The 17,200-nt window shown below is 35.7% G+C and overlaps 1 long non-coding RNA gene across 1 annotated transcript in view; it reads right to left on the bottom strand.

Moving 5' to 3' along the window:
* The window catches only part of LOC105370529 (uncharacterized), a 149,443-nt gene extending 143,523 nt beyond the window's left edge, over positions 1–5,920 (bottom strand). The window contains exon 1 of the long non-coding RNA XR_943932.3: positions 5,796–5,920. This is a non-coding gene — a long non-coding RNA (uncharacterized LOC105370529). The remainder of the gene's footprint in view (positions 1–5,795) is intronic.
* Between the last annotated feature and the right edge of the window lie 11,280 nt (positions 5,921–17,200).

Here is a 17,200-nt window from a genome sequence, read left to right as displayed (position 1 = left end):
ACTATGAAACCTAAAACTATAAAAACCCTGGAAGATAACCTAGGAAATACCATTCTGGACATCAGACCTGGCAAATATTTCATAACAAAGATGCCAAAAGCAACTGTAACAGAAGCAAAAATTGACAAGTTGGACCTAATTAAACTAAAGAGTTTCTGCACAGCAAAATAAGTTATCAACAAAGTAAACAGACAACCTGCAGAATGGGAGAAAGTATTTGCAAATTATGTATCTGACAAAGGTCTAATATTCAGAACCTATAGAGAACTTAAATTCACAAGCAAAAATCCACATTAAAAAGTAGGCGAAGTACATGAACACTTTTCAAAAGACATACATGTGGCTTGTATACATACGTAACTAACCTACACATTGTGCACATGTACCCTAAAACTTAAAGTATAATAATAATAAAATAAAATAAAATAAAATAAAAACAAAAGACATACATGTGGCCAACAAACACATGAAAAAATATTCAACATCCCCTCATTAGAGAAATGCAAATCAAAACCACAATGAGATACCATCTCAAACCAGTGAGAGGGCTATTTTTTAAAAGTAAAAAAAAAATATGCTGGTGAGGCTACGGAGAAAAGGGAACACTTATACACTGCTGATGGGAGTGTAAATTAGTTCAGCCATTGTGCAAAGCAGTTTGGCAATTACTCAATTAACTCTAAGCAGAATTACCATTCAACCCCAGCAATCCCATTATTGGGCATATACTCAAAGGAATATAAATTGCTCTACCATGAAAACACAGCCATGTGCATGTTCATCATAGCACTATTCACAATAGCAAATACATGAAATCACCTTAACGCCCATTCAACAGTAGATTTGATATAGAAAATATGGTACATATACAGCGTGGAATACTATGCAGCCACAAAAAAGAATGAGATCATGTCCTTTGCAGCAACATACATCTGAAGGCCATTATTCTAAGCAAAGTAACACAGGAACAGAAAATCGAACACCACATATTCCCGTGAGTGGGAGCTAAATATTGAGTACATATAGACACAAAGAAGGGAAAAAGAGACACCAGGCCCTACTTGAAGGTAGAGGGAGAAAAGAGGGTGAGGTTCAAAAAACTACCTATTGGGTACTATTCTTATTACCTGGGTGACAAAATAATCTGTACACCAAATCTCCATAACAAGCAATTTACCTATATTAACAAAACTGCACATGTAACCCTGAACCTAAAATAAATGTAAATAAACAACAAAGAGGTTGTTTATAACATATAAATGCTTAGCCCCTGATTCTGAAAAGGAAAAAATGGAAAAAATTTGGCTGTGCCCTCACTTTGATAATATCTGGGTATCTCAAGATGGCCATTTGGTAGCATCAGATAATTTCAAATGAATGTTAGCTAAATCTATTGATGAAACTACCCATCATGGTGCAGATAAATTGGTTATTGTCCTAAATCAACACTTCTGGGGAAACATTAAAAAGACAGGCAAGATTATTTGTTGTGTTATGTATCACCTGTTAACAACATGACACTGGAGAAAGTGCCGAGGTGGAGTAGAAATCAAAGTTGTAAGGGTCCTTTGAATGCTTTCAGGTGGATCTTATCCAGCTTCCATCCTCAAGAACAGGTTCTGGGTATTATTGTAGCTTTCTTACTTGCCCAAAAGCTGTAGCCCTCACAGTCACTAAAAATCTAACTGATTTTGTGCTTCCAACCTGGGGCATACCAACTTTTATATCAAGTGATTGAGGCTCATACTTTGCAGGAATCATCATAAAAGGACTCTGTAATGATTCGCTTTGTATGCAAAAATTACACTACCCTTATTAACCACAATCATCTGCAAAGTTTGAAAAAAATAATGGCATCCTTAAAATCTGCCAAACTCCCAGAAACCCTTAAGCATCCTTACTAATGTTACTCCCACTATCCCTAATAGCCCTTAGGGACACACAGTTACCAACCACTAACTGGTAATTGGAAGGCCCGTGTGTTCTGATCACCTCTTATTCATCCCATTGGTGAAGGAGGGAGTTCTCACCCCAAATAGTATGAGACGGCTGAACACATAATACCCAGCACTGGAAGGATGAGAATTGTAGCACTTTATTAGTCACATATACTCATAGCCTGAGAGAATGAGGATGCCACCAGGGCCACATGGTGGCTGAACTGTGCTTGGGAATACAATGAAACAGCTGGGACTGTGGGAAGCAGGCTTTGTAGTAACAAGAGCATTAGGTGACCCTTGGTTCTTACAGGAGGCTATAACTGGCTTGAATAATTTCACAGACATGCAAGGAGGTGAAACTCATTACGTTGAGAATTAGGGGGGGCTGCAGTTTGATCAGCTAATAGGAAAATCAGCCAAGTGTGGGTCCTTTCCCACCACATGGAGAGCATACCTGACAAGAGCAGGGGAATACAGACCTAGGCTTTTAGGGCCCTGTGAGGCTCAAAAATATGAAGGCAACACTTGAAATTTTAGGTCTCACAATACACCATGTGTTTAGGGAATTCATCCTGTTATTAGACTCCTCCCTTCTGCACAGAGACATGGCAAAGAATTGTGAGAGACACATGTACTATACCTATCACCAACAGATTAAGGCTGCCCTCCCACAGCCTCTTAAACAGCCTCTATATGCTCTTCAACTGGAGATTTCATCTACTAAAAAAAAAAAAAAAACCTAAAAAAAACAAAAACAGAAAAAATCCTCTTAAACCCTGTTGGAAGTACTGTTAGCATTGTTAACAACAGTATAGTGAAACTCAAGTCATGTTTCACAACAATCCAGAACTCTATAGAATTAGAACATAATTCCAATAGAGAGCCTCAAATTCAGGTTTCTCGAAGATCTTCTAGAAGCATCTGATATTTTGAATTAGACAGATGATCTTTGAAACAAGCAGAGGACCTTGTTTAGTGGACAACTTCTGCCCAAGATATCAGACTCAGACTCCTGATTTTCTGTCTGATTGGTTATAATAATTCTTATTATTTTATTAATATCTGGCTGTTGTACACCCATAATCCTCTTTCTCTTTCTGTATTATAATAGCTAGGTCAGAACGTACTAATTCTAACGTCTAATGTCACTCTTAACTTACTCCAAAGAATAGCCACTGCCAATTTACCAAATGCTGGGTACACCTTTCATCACCAGACCCCAATTATAAAACCCTCTGGATAATTCTGTTTTCATCAAATGAAACCAAAAGGAATTACAGCCAAATAATGCTATCATTATGTACTTATTATAAAAAGCAGAATAAATTACACCTATATAGACAAATGACTTTTCTAAAAATCAACCTATTATTTTGCTAGTGTTCCTCTTTCCCGGAAAAAGAACCAATTATTACAATCTATTGATCATATCATAGGTAATTCTCAAAAATCTTTCTAGAGCAGTGGACAAATTGCTTGTCACCAGGAAGAGACTCATAAAGATTTAAATATATAACCTAGCTAACATAAGGCCTCAGTTCTGACCTCATGTTATTAAAAACTAGTTATTTTCCTGGTTCTTCATGGAGCCATTGGATACTACCTTTTTCCAGGGTGGTTCTGTTTGCCCCAGACTAACACTTCATGCAATTTAGGAAAACTATTCCAAGTTTTGTCTGTATGCAGAAGCCTTTATTCTGTAAATCACCAATGCTGGAAATTCTAATTCAGATACAAGTTTCAAAACAGGATTATCCTTGATTATTTGGGCACTCAACCTGGGGGAATTACTAATTCATCATTTATGCAAATGATCATAGCAGTATTCCCCAAAATAGGAATCATAAAAATAGAAAAAAACACTGTAAGAAACCATCACTAACTCTGTCATAAGTCACTAATGATTCTACTTCTTCCCTAAATGGAATACAGATCAGTCTCAATTTATTGGGCATAAGTACTGATGTACAGTCACATTGCTTAAGATTTTCTTGTTGGCTAGTAATGATGATGCCTGTCCCATCGCAAATACTCCTTGCTGTATCTGAATCAATGAAACAGACAAGGTAGGGAAAAGCTACTTGGCTAAGGTTAAACTTCATGGCCTACAGGATTTGCTCTTTTAGTCTGAGTTAGGCAATTAGAGTTCCTGGTTCTGAAATCCCAGAGAAACTACTGTTTTTATTTTCCTCATAGTGGTCATGATGCTGGTTTGGTGCATTCTATTCAGAGTTTTAAATGCTTCTGTGCAGCTGTTCTCTAATTAAATGATCACCGTGGTGACATAACAACAAAAAATCAAGATCTACAATTCAAATGACTAGGGAGAAAACTGAACAACTTTTAAGTGGTGAAGATCTTGATTTTCAGCGTTCCCTGTATTGGTCAATCTCTTAGAAATGAGATAATGACACAGAGGGAGGGCTGTGAGACTGAATACACCAACTGCCAATAGGGAGACAACATATGACAACAGTAGTCTACTTACAACCTCCTTAGCAACCAGTTTGAAAAAGTTAAATTACTACCTCTGCTGCAATAAGCTCAGAACAGTCAAAAAATTATTTAAACATAGGCAAAATGTTCATGAACATAAACAAAAATTTCTTAACAAAATATAAACAAAATTTGGCAATATCTGTTAACAGCTTAATATGTGCTTATCCTTGCTTGATCCATGCCTCAGCTATTCCATTTTTCATATCTGTGAAAAACAGGTACACAAATGCAAAAGACTCTGTATGCTGGTGTTAATTGCAGCATTTTTATAACATAAAAATGAAAGTGATATAAATATTTGTCAACTCGGAAACAACACCATATAAGCATGCTATATTTACTAGAGCAGGAAAAAATTTATAGTTCCATATTCAGTAAGTTAGACAGGTACCTAAAACATACTATTCAGTGTAAAAAATAAGTTACAGAGTGACATAAGAAGTTAAAGAACCATAGAAAAAAATTAAAATACCCAAAACAAAGTTTTATATTTTCTAAGAAAACATAAATAATAGAGGTCATGTATTACTTGATTAATTTTAAAAGTCAACAAATATAGTATGTTGATAGCAAAAAGACAAGAGATGGGAAGAAGGAGGAGTGTTGAAAAAAATCAGTGATTAAACACATTCCCTGACTAAGTAGAGATTGAAGAAATAAAGCAATAAATAAATATATGTGTATCACCTTAAGTTACAATGCAAAATATCCAAGAAACTAGAAATAGTGATAAACACATATAGGAAGGAAGGCATAAGAAGAGCTGAAAATGTAAGAGAACCTTTTCTTGATCTGTGAAAGAAAAAGTAAAATAAAGTCACAGACATGGATATAAACCCAAAAATAATAATTAAAAAGCAGTCCTCCTAGAGAGCAAGACACATTCCATGAGGGCAGAGGACTGTAGTTTTTCATTATAAGTACTTGTGTTACTTCCTTTGATTTCTTTCATCTGTGTATAAATATATTACTATTATCTTAAATTTTAAAACTTTACAAAAGGCTCAACTCCATAACATTTTGTATACAAAGCTCAATTATACTGTTTGAGTTTAGTGATATGATGGAAGTTATGATTTAATACTTACTTGAACACTGAGACATCATCTTTTGGAAATACACGTGAGCAAGATGATGGAGTAGGAAGCTTTGGACCCTCCACCCCACAACCAAGCTGAATTCACCGACAATACATGGACAAATTCCCTTTATGAGAAATAGGAAATGAATTAAAAGGCTCCTGCAACTTGGTCAAGTGTGAAAACACTCACTCAGGCCAAAGGAGATTCAGAACAGTCCTCTTATCAGAGACTCTTCCCCAGTGCAGTACCATATAATCAAAAAGAGATACCCTACCTCCTAGATTCATCCAGGGGTTGAAAGTAGTTAGTTTGTAGGTCCAGTGCTTCATCTTTCCCCAGAGGACTGGCTTTTCTCTTCCCAGTATTGAAATTGTGATGGGTCCAGTACTGTCCAGCTACCTGGGAGAGAACAGAGGCAGCAGATTGAGCTGGTAAATGCCAATGATCCTCCCTGCTGCTTAGCACAAAGAAAACAGATGAAAATCACAGCTCTCAGTTCTCCCCTAGAGAGAGTAAGAGCTAATTTGTGTAACCAATAGCCCACCTTCTCCAGGGCTGCCCAAAGAACTAGCATCTTTCTTGCCAGTTTTTGAGCTCTTACAGGTCTGGCACATTCTAGCCACACAGAGGATAATAAAAATGGCAGCATGGGCTGATAGAAACCATGGATTGTCCTTGCTCTTGGCAGAGAAAAGAGCAAGCAGGAAAAATCCACAACTGTCTGCTTTTCCCTGGGGAGAAAAAGAATACATAGAGGCTCCTAAAATCTCTGGCTGAGTTAATTGATGGGGATTTTCTCTGTACAAGTCTGTGAGACTGAGTGAGATGCCTGTTTTGTCTAATTCCCAGACACTAACACAGAGAGTCAAGGAAAATAAAGAATCAGTCAAAGATGTTCCAAAGAAAGAAAGAAGATAAATCCTATAGGATAAGACACTGGAAATAATTCAGTTAGAGGAGAAAAAGGAAAAAGAATACAAAAGAGTAAAGAAAGCTTGAGAAAGTTATTGTACACCAAGTGGACCAATATATGCATTAGGTGAATTCCAGAGGAGAAGACAAAGGATCAAAAAAATATTTAAATAAATAATAGCTGAAAAACACACAAATTAGGGAAGAAAATGGACTTCAGATCCAAATAGCCCAAAGGACACCAAATAAGAGGAACTAAAAAAGTTCACAGCAAAACACATTAAATCAAGTGGTCAAAAGTCAAAGACATAATTTTAAAATGCTAAAAGAAAAAAAAAAGATAAAGAAATACCCTGTCAACCAAAAATGCTATGTCTGACTAACTCTCAGACAGAAGAAAAAAGGGATGAAGGCTTTTCCAGGCAAACAAAAGCTGAGGGAGTTTATTACCACTAGACCTGCCTTACAAGCAATTCTAATGGAAGTTCTTCAAGTTAACATGAAAAGAAAATGACGGTATAGAAAGCATGAAATTCATTGGTTAAGATAAAGAAATATAGAAAGAAGTACCATATTATGGTAGTAGTGGTAAGTAAATCATTCTCAATTTTAATATAAATTTAAAAGACAAAAGTATTAGAAATATAACTAAAATATATTAAAAGAAACATAGTATGAATAAATACAGATTGTTATAATAAAACCTGTGGGGAAAAGTTGAACTGCAGAGATTGGATGCAATTGAACTGAAGTTGTTATCAGCTTAAAATAAACTGTTATAAGATATTTTATGTAAACTTCAAGATAACCACAAAAAATAAAGTACTTGTAGACCTTAGAGCTTACACAAAAGAGAAAAGAAAGGAATCAAAACATATCATTACAAAAAAATCAACAAACAATGAAAGACAGCAGAAAAAGGGAATAATACCAAAACAACTACAAGACTAACAGGGAAAAACCTAACTAAATGGCAATAATAAATACTTTCCTATCAGTGAATACTTTAAATGTAAATGGATTAAACTCCTCAATCAAAAGACATAGGATGATTTAATTTTTTTAAAAAAAAGCAAGACTAAATTATATGTTGTGTAAAACAAACCCATTTTAGATTTAAGGATGCACAAAGGCTAAAAGTGAAAAGATAATGAAAAAAACTTATTTTATGCAAATGCTAACCAAAAGAGAGCAGGAGTGTCTAGATATACATAAAACAAAATTTAGTTTAACTAAAAGACTGTTGCAGGATACAGAGAGAAGGATATTTTGTAATGAGAAAAGAGTAAATGCACTAGGAAGATAGAACAATATATATGTACCCAACATCAGAGAATCTACTAGATAAAGGAAACCTTGACAGATATGAAAGGAAAAATATAGAGTGATGCAATAATATAGAAGATGTCAATAACCTACTTTCAATAGACCAACCAGAGAGAAGACCAGTAAGGGAACAGAAGATTTAAACAATACTATACACCAAATGGACTGAACATATGTATACAGAGTATTCCACCCAACAGCAGCAGAATACATATTCATCTCAACTGCACATGAATCCTTCTCCATGAAAGATCACATGTCACAAAACAAATCTTAACAAATTTAAGAAGGTTTAAATTATATTTTTACGGCCACAATGGAATAAAACTAGAAGTACCTATCCCAAAAGGAAAACTGAAAAATCCTCAAATATGTGGAAATTAAACAACACATCCTTGAAGAATTATTCAGTTAAAGAAAAAATCAAAATGGAAATTAGAAAAAAATACCCGAAAGAAAATGAAAACAAAACATCAAACTTATGGGATGCAGCAAAAACATTATTAAGAGGAAAGTTTATTGAGATAAATGCCTACATTAAAAATGAAGAAAATTTTACAAAAATCAACTTGAGATGGATCAAACACTTAAATCTAAGACCTGAAACCATGAAATTTCTAGAAGATAACATCAGGAAAGCTCTTCTAGACATTGGGTTAGGCAAAGAGTTCATGACCAAGAACCCAAAAGCAAATGTGACAAAAACAAAGATAAATAGATAGGACCTAATTAAACTAAAAAGCTTCTGCACAGCAAAAGAAATAATCAGCAGAGTAAACAGCCAATCCATAGAGTAGGAGAAAATATTTACAACTATGCATCTGACAAAGGTCTGATAGCCAGAATCTATAAGGAACGCAAACAAGTCAGCAAGAAAAAAACAAGTAGTCTCATCAAAAAATGGGCTAAGAACATGAATAGTCAATTCTCAAAAGAAGATATAAAAATGGCCAAAAAATACTCGACATCACTAATAGAGAAAACCGGAATGCACTACTGCCTTACTCCTGCAAGAATGGTTGTAATTAAAAAATCAGGAAATAATAGATGTTGGCATCATTGTGGTAGAAAAGGAACACTTTTACATGCTGATGGGAATGTAAACTAGTACAACCACTATGGAAAATAGTATGGAGATTCCTTAAAGAACTAAAAGTAGAACTACCATTTGATCCAGCAATCCCACTACTGAGTATCTACCCAGAGGGAAAAAAATCATTATATAAAAAAGACATTTCACCTGCATGTTTATAGTGCACAATTCACAATTGGGAAAATATGGAACTGGCTTAAATGCCCATCGACAAATGAGAGGATAAGGAAAATGTGGTATATATCTATACCATGGAATACTATCCAGGCACAAAAAGGAATGAAATAATGGCATTTACTGCAACCTGAATGGAGTTGGAAACCATCATTCTAAGTGAAGTAACTCAAGAATAGAAAACCAAACATTGTATATTGTCACAAGTGGGAGCTAAGGTATGAGGATGCAATGGCACAAGAATGATGTAAGGGACTTTGGAGATTCAGAGGGAACTGGTGTGAGGAATAAAAAACTACACACTGGGTACAGTATACACTACTTGGGTGATGGGTGCACCAAAATCTCAGAAATCACCATTGAAGAACTTACCCGTGTAACAAAAAAAACACCTGTTTCCAAAAAACTATTGAAATAATAAATAAAATTTTCAATTAAACAACCTAACTTTACACAAAAGAAACTAGAAAAAGAACTATGCTCACAGTTAGCAGAAGAAAGGAAATAATAAATATTAACACAATATATACAAAACACAAAAAGGAAAAACAAAATCATTGAAACTAAAAATTGTTTTTTTTTAAGGTAAATAAAATGGACAAAACTTTGCTAGACTAGGAAAAAGAGGACTCAAATAAATAAAATTTAAAAATTAATGAGACATTATCCCATAGGAATGAAAAGGGTTAAAATGGATTGCATGAACAATTATACTTCAACAAATTGGATAACCTTTTAAAGAAATGTTATTTTAATAATTTTAATAAATTTAAATAAATTTCTAGAAACACACAACCTATCAAGACTAAATCATGAAGAAATAGAAAGTTGGAACAGGCCCATAACTATTACAAAGATTTGATTATAATAAAATACCTCCCAACCAAGAAAAGCCAGGACCTAATGGCTTCACTGGTAAATTCTACCAAACCTTTAAAGAAGAATTAATGCCAATCCTTCTTAAACTCTTCCAAAAAGTTAAAGAGAAGCCACTTCCAATATTTTTATGAGATCAGAATTACTCTGATATCAAAACCAGACAAAAACACCACAAGAAAAGAAAACTACAGGCCAATATCCTTGATAAGCAGATTCAAAAATTGTAAACAAAAATACTAACAAACTGAATTCAATAACATTAAAAGGACCATACATTATGGCATAGTGAGATTCATCCCTGGAATGCAAGGATGGTTCAACATATGAAACTTAATGTGATATGCCCATAAACAGAATGAAGGATAAGAATTACATGAGCAGCTCAAAAGATACAAAAAAGGCATCGACAAAATTTCATACCTTTTCACCATAGCAACTTCCAACAAAACAAGAAAATTATCTCAACATAGTAAAAGCTATCTAGGAAAATCTCAGAGCTAACAACAAACTCAATGGTGAAAAACTAAAAGCTTTGCCTCCGAGATTAAGAACAAGGCAAGGATGTCCACTCTTACCACTTCTATTCAAGATAGCACTGGAAGTCCTAGCAAGAACAAGGAAAAGAAATAAAAGGCATACAAACTAGAAAGGAAATGAAATTGTCCCTGTCTAAAGACAGCATGATCTTCTATGTAGAAAACCCTAAAGACTCCATTTTTTTTCGGGAAAAAAAAGCTCTTAGAACTAATCAAAGAATTCAGTAAAGTTGAAGGATACAAAAATCAATATAGAAATCAGTTGCATTTCTATACACTAACAAACTATCTTTTAAAAATTGGAAAACAATCCAATTTACAATAGCAACAAAAAGAATAAAATAAACTTAATTAAAGAAGTGAAAGACTTGTATACTGAAAACTGCAAAACACTGATGAAAGAAATTAAACAAGTCACAAATACTAAGACATTCTGTGTTCATGGATTGAAACTCTTAATATTGTTAAAATGTACACGGTACCTAAAGCAACATGTATAGATCCAAAGAAACCCTATCAAAATTCTAATGGTATATTTTACAGAAATAGAAAAAACAAGTACAAAATTCATATGAAACTACAAAAGACTATTAATTGACCAAGCAATCTTGAGAAAAAACAAAGCTGGAAGCATTATACTGTCCAACTTCAAAATATATTACAAAGCTATAGTTATCAAAACAGTATGGTACTGGCATAAAGACAGACATGGATATGCATGTATTTATGTGTATATATGTATGTATATGCCTATGTATATGTGTATGTGCATATGTGTGGGTATCTGTATCTCAATGAAACAGAATAGAGAACCCCAGAAATAAATCAATACATATATGTTCAACGGATCTTTGGACAAGATTGTCAAAAATACACATGGGGAGAAGAGAGTCTCTTCCATAAGAGGCACTGAGGAAACTGGATGCGAAAGAATGAAATTGTACCCTTATCTTACACAGACACAAAAATCAACTCAAAACAGACTTAAACACAAGACTTGAAACTATCAAACCCCTAGAACATAGAGGAAATGCTTTCTGACATTGGCCTTAGCAATGATTTTATGGATATACCATCAAAAGCACAGACAGCAAAACCAAAAATAAATAAATGTGACTACATCAACCTAACATGCTTCTGCAAAGCCAAATAAATAAACAGTAGAATGAAAAGGCAACCTATGGAATGAAGAAAATATTTGCAAACTATATATCTGATAAGGAATTAATATCCAATATTCAGGGAACTCCTACAAGTAAATAGAAAAAAGCAAAAAATGGTCAGAAAAAAACAGAAAATGATCAGAAAACATGAATAAACATTTTCCCAAAGAAGACATACAAATGGTCAACACATATACAAAAAAATTCTGAAGATCGCTAGACACCAGGAAAATGCAAGTCAAAATCACAGTGAGATATCATCTCATGCCTGTTAGAATGGTGGTTGTTATTATTATTATTATTATTTTGAGACGGAGTCTCACTCTGTTGCCCAGGCTGGAGTGCAGTGGCGCCATCTCGGCTCACTGCAAGCTCCCCCTCCTGGGTTCACGCCATTCTCCTGCCTCAGCCTCCCAAGTAACTGGGACTACAGGCACCCGCCACCACGCCCAGCTAATTTTTTTGGTATTTTTAGTAGAGGCAGGGTTTCACCATGTTAGCCAGGATGGTCTCGATCTCCTCACCTCGTGATCCACCCACCTCGGCCTCCCAAAATGCTGGGATTACAGGCGTGAGTCACTGCACCTGACCCGGTTATTATTTTTTAAAAGGTAATAATTGTTGGTGAGGATGTAGAGAAAAGGGAACCCTTGTACACTATTGGTGGGAATGTATGATAGTGCAGCCATTATGGAAACAATAAGGAGATTTATCAAAAAATTAAAGAACTACTATATGATCCAGCAATCCCACTCAGAATATTTATACAAAAGAACAGAAATTAGCATCTTGAAGTTATATTAACATTCCCATGTTCATTGCAGCAGTATTCACAATAGCCATAATACTATGCAGCCATAAAAAAGGATGAGTTCATGTCCTTTGTAGGGACATGGATGAAGCTGGAAACCATCATTCTCAGCAAACTATTGCAAGGACAAAAAAACCAAACACCGCATGTTCTCACTCATAGGTGGGAATTGAACAATGAGAACACATGGACACAGGAGGGGGAACATCACACACCGGGGCCTGTTGTGGGGTGCGGGGAGTGGGGAGGGATAGCATTAGGAGATATACCTAATGCTAAATGACGAGTTAATGGGTACAGCACACCAACACGGCACATGTATACATATGTAACTAACCTGCACATTGTGCACATGTACCCTAAAACCTAAAGTATATTAAAAAAAAAAAAAAGAAAATTCTGCAATATGTGACAACATGGATGAAGCTTGAGGACATTACACTAAGTGAAATAAGCCAGTCACAGAAAGCCACATGCTACATGATTCCACTTATATTAAGTATCTAAAATAGTCTAATTCATAGAGTCAAATAGTAGAATTGTGGTTGCTGGGGATTGTGAGGAGGGGAAAACGGGGAGTTAATAGTAAAAGGCATAAAATTCCAGTTAAGCAAGGTAAATAAGCTAGAAGTCTACTGTATAACTTTGTACCCATAGTCAACATTATTTGTATACTTTAAATTTAAGAGGGCAGGATATAAAATTACAGCTAGATAGGAGACATAACTTCTAGTGTACTATACCACTCAGGATGACTATATTAACAATAATATATAGTTTCAAATAGCCAGAAGGAGGATATTGGAGGTACCCAACACAAAGAAATGATAAATGTTTGAGATGATGGATATACCAGTTACCCTAATCTGATCACTGTAAATTGTATGTATCAAAACATCACAAGGTACTTTACAAACACATACAATTATTGGTTAATTTAAAAATAAAGTTTAAAAAATTTCAGAGGATAGACCTGATATTAAGTGTTTTTACCACAATAATTATTTTAAAGACAAAATATTCTGTTTCAACTTTCTGTTTTGATTTTTTAAATAAACTTTTTGTTTTAGAATAGTTTGACATTAAACAAATGTGAAGCTAGTGCAGAGTTCCCATATACCTTAACCTAATTTCCCCTATTATTAACTACTTACATTAATATGGTACACCATGATTAATAAACTAATATTGATACATTATTATTAACTTTAGCCCACATTTAATTCAGATCTGCTTAAGTTTTACCTAGTTTCTTTTTGCTACTCCAGGATCCCACCCAGGATACCATATTACATCGTCATGTCTTCTTCGGCTCCCCTAGGCTGTGACAGTTCCTCATATTTTTCTTGTTTTTGATAACCTCGCCAGTTTTTATTAGGTTGGTGCAAAACCACAATTGCTTGTGCACCAACCTAGTAGAAGGACTCTCAATATTTTGAAGAATTTCCCACATTTTGGATTTCTCTGATATTGTCTTATAGTTTGACTGAGCTTATGGGTTTTTGGAAGACTCTGGTGGTGCACTGCCATTCTTATCACATTATATAAAGGGTACATAATAACAGTATAACATATCACTGTTTATGTTAACCTTGATCATGTGACTAAGGCGATATTTATCAAGTTTCTCCACTGTCGAGTTATTTTTTTCCCCTTTCTGTATTCTATACAGGGAATTCACTATGCACAATCTACACTTAAGGAGTGGGAAGTTATGTTCCATTTTCTTGTGGCCAGAGTATATCTATAAATTATTTGTAATTCTTCTGCAGGAGAGCTTTCCCTATTCTCCCTCATTTATTTATATATGTAATAATTTTTGATTTCAGTATGAACTTGTAGATATTTTATACTTTGAGTTATAATCCAATGCCCTTTTATTTATTTTGTCACTCAAATTTTCCCAGCTGTGACCACTGGGAGCTCTTCCAGCTGGCCCCTGTGTCCCTTTAACATACCCCATTATAGTGGGGTGGGGGTGTGCTGTGCACGCGCATGTGTGGTTTTTTGAGGCTTGTGCCTAAGTAATCCTCAGCTCAGGACCAAAGGTAGTTCTACTCCAGGGGCTTCCTTTTATGTAAATAGAAATGATAAAATATAAAGGAATTACCTCTTTAAAGACCCTATATCTAAATGCAGTTGCATTCTGAGGAACTGAAGGTAAGGACTTCAACATATTAATTTTGTAAGGGACAAAACTCAGCCCATAACACCCTATCCTCTGCCCTCCTCCTGCCAAATTCATGTTTTTTTACATGCAAAATACATTCACCACATCCCAACAGCCCTTAAGTCTTAACCCATTTCAGCAAAAGTCTGCTCAAAATATCATCTAAATCAAGTATGGGTGAGGCTGGAGCTATGATTCATCCTGAAGCAAATTTCTCTTCAGCTGTGAACGTGTGTAACCAGGCAACAAGTTATCTTCCTTCAAAATACAATGGGTGGGACAAGGCATTCAATAGACCTTTCCATTCCAAAAGGGAGAAATCAGAAAGAAAGGGTTAATGGGTCCCAAGCAAATTCAAAACCTAGCAGGACAAATTCCTTTAGATTTAGAGGCTTGAGAATAATCCTCTTTGGCTCAATGCTGCGTCCTCAGCACCTACCAGCATGGCCCTACCTTCTGGTCAGGGTAGAGGTTTTAACGATCATAGATCTCTTTGAAGATTGCCATGTCGCCCAAACCAGGACAGTGAGAAGCCCAACTAGAATACCTCTGACTTCATCACATCCTATTATTTCCTTTCCCATGGGAATTCAAGTGTTTTGCACCAACATGGCAAAAAACATGTGCTATAGTCACAGACACCAACCAGCAGGCAGCTGAGATCTTGCTATGAATGATGACATTCTTCTCCTTAAAACACTTTCATCTATATTGGTTAGCCATAATTTACTGTATGTTTCAAAATGGCTAAAAGAATAGAAATTAGAATGTTCCTAACACAAAGAAATGATTGATGCCCCAGTTACCCCGTTTGATCACTACACATCATACGTTTATATCAAAATATCACACACACCTTACAAATATGTATAACTATTATACACATAATTATTATTATACACATAATGCATAATTTAAAATTTATAAAGTAAAAAAGAATGAGGCCACTTTTGAACTTGCAGATGGAAAATTTTCTAATTTGAAATCGAAGCACTGTCATACATCCAACTAAAAGATTTCTAACCCAAACTTGGTGAAGTCTCAGGATTCCCTCGCAGCCATCCTCTGTAAGGACTGCCTCAGGTAGGTTTCTTTAGCCTTCTTTCCGTCACATTCCTCACTACACCTATTGGATCTGTCAGCCTCACCATCTCTTGCACTCCAGTTCCTGAGCTCATTAATTGGCTGTTTCTGACTAGACGATGGCTGAGAATCCCTGTCCAAACAGATCACCATCATGTTTATCATTAGCAATAACACCACCAGTGAGTGCACAAAACATATGCAGGATATAATTCAGAATACAGAATTGAACTCAGGACCAATCAGTAGAATTAGTATCAGACTTTAAATGCTGAGACAGCAACATGAGGCAAAATGATAATGCTCTCTGCAGGGAAAAAGGAAAGCTGCTTCATGGGGCGGAGGTTTCTGGAGGTACTGTCACATTGAGTCACGCCTGACTTGGAAATAATTTGCATGGGTTCCCTTTAAATATGTGCAGGCAGGATGAAGCTCATAAGCACCGCCAGAAATGTCACACCATTCAGACTTTCATTTGTTTTTCATGCCTTGAGTCCAAGAATAATATGGGGAAAAAGATGTCACTTACCCAAAGGCATGGCAGATGTTCCTCTGAGAGTTGTTTATGCAGATTGCAGTCCGATTACACCGCCCAGAATCAGCTCTACATCAGTCACTGTAGTTCTCCCTGTGTTACCCTCTCCAGCTCTCAAATCTCCTTGTTTTTGGAAATTTCAGGACAACTTCTAGAGCAGAAGATCTCTGTCAAAGTCTAGCACTTTAAGGTAATGAATGTCACCTGGGAGTTGTTCTCTACTGCAGCTTTCAAGATATGTGATTACTAAACTTTGGGAAAGGGCACCGCAGGCAAGCATGACTGTGAGCATCCGAATTTCCAGTCTGCCCTTAAGCCTGGCTCCCTGGAGTCCTGAGCTCCCTGGAGTCCTGAGCACCCTGGTCAGCCTTGACTTCAACCTAGCTCTACTAATTATCACAATCTCCAGCCCAAGCTTGTCCAACCTGCAGCCCGTGGGCCGCATGCCACCCAGGATGACTTTGAATGCAGCCCAACACAAATTCGTAAACTTTCTTAAAACATTAAGAGATTTTTTTTCCTTTTAGCTCATCAGTTATTGTTAGTGTTCGTGTATTCTATGTGTGGCCCAATACAATTCTTTTCCTTCCAGTGTGGCCCAGGAAAGCCGAAAGATTGGACACCCCTGCTCTACCCAGTTTTTAAATGAAGCTGTGGTTCCCATTTAATGGCTATGCCTGAAGATACATGGAACAATAAAATGCCCTGGTCAGAAAATAATAATAATAAGGCTATTTAATAAGCCTTAAACTGTACTTACAGGTAGAGAAATGTGAACACTGCAATCTCATTACAATATACTATAAACATTTACAACACTACCAGACACTTTTTATAAACAAAATAAAGACCTTTTGTATTAAATGAATTCAGCCAAGCTAACATTTCCATGAACTATTTCACCGCAGCATGGAAGAAACTACAGAGAGCATGTTACTTTGGGTCACAGGTCTTAAGTACTTAAACTCCAGTCCAGCTAATCTTTTATATTTCATCA

The sequence above is a fragment of the Homo sapiens genome, chromosome 14 (genome assembly GCF_000001405.40).
Source record: "Homo sapiens chromosome 14, GRCh38.p14 Primary Assembly".
NCBI classification, from domain to species: Eukaryota; Metazoa; Chordata; class Mammalia; order Primates; family Hominidae; genus Homo; species Homo sapiens.
Note: the sequence above shows the minus strand (reverse complement) of the source record. Positions and strands in the feature narration are given on the sequence as shown.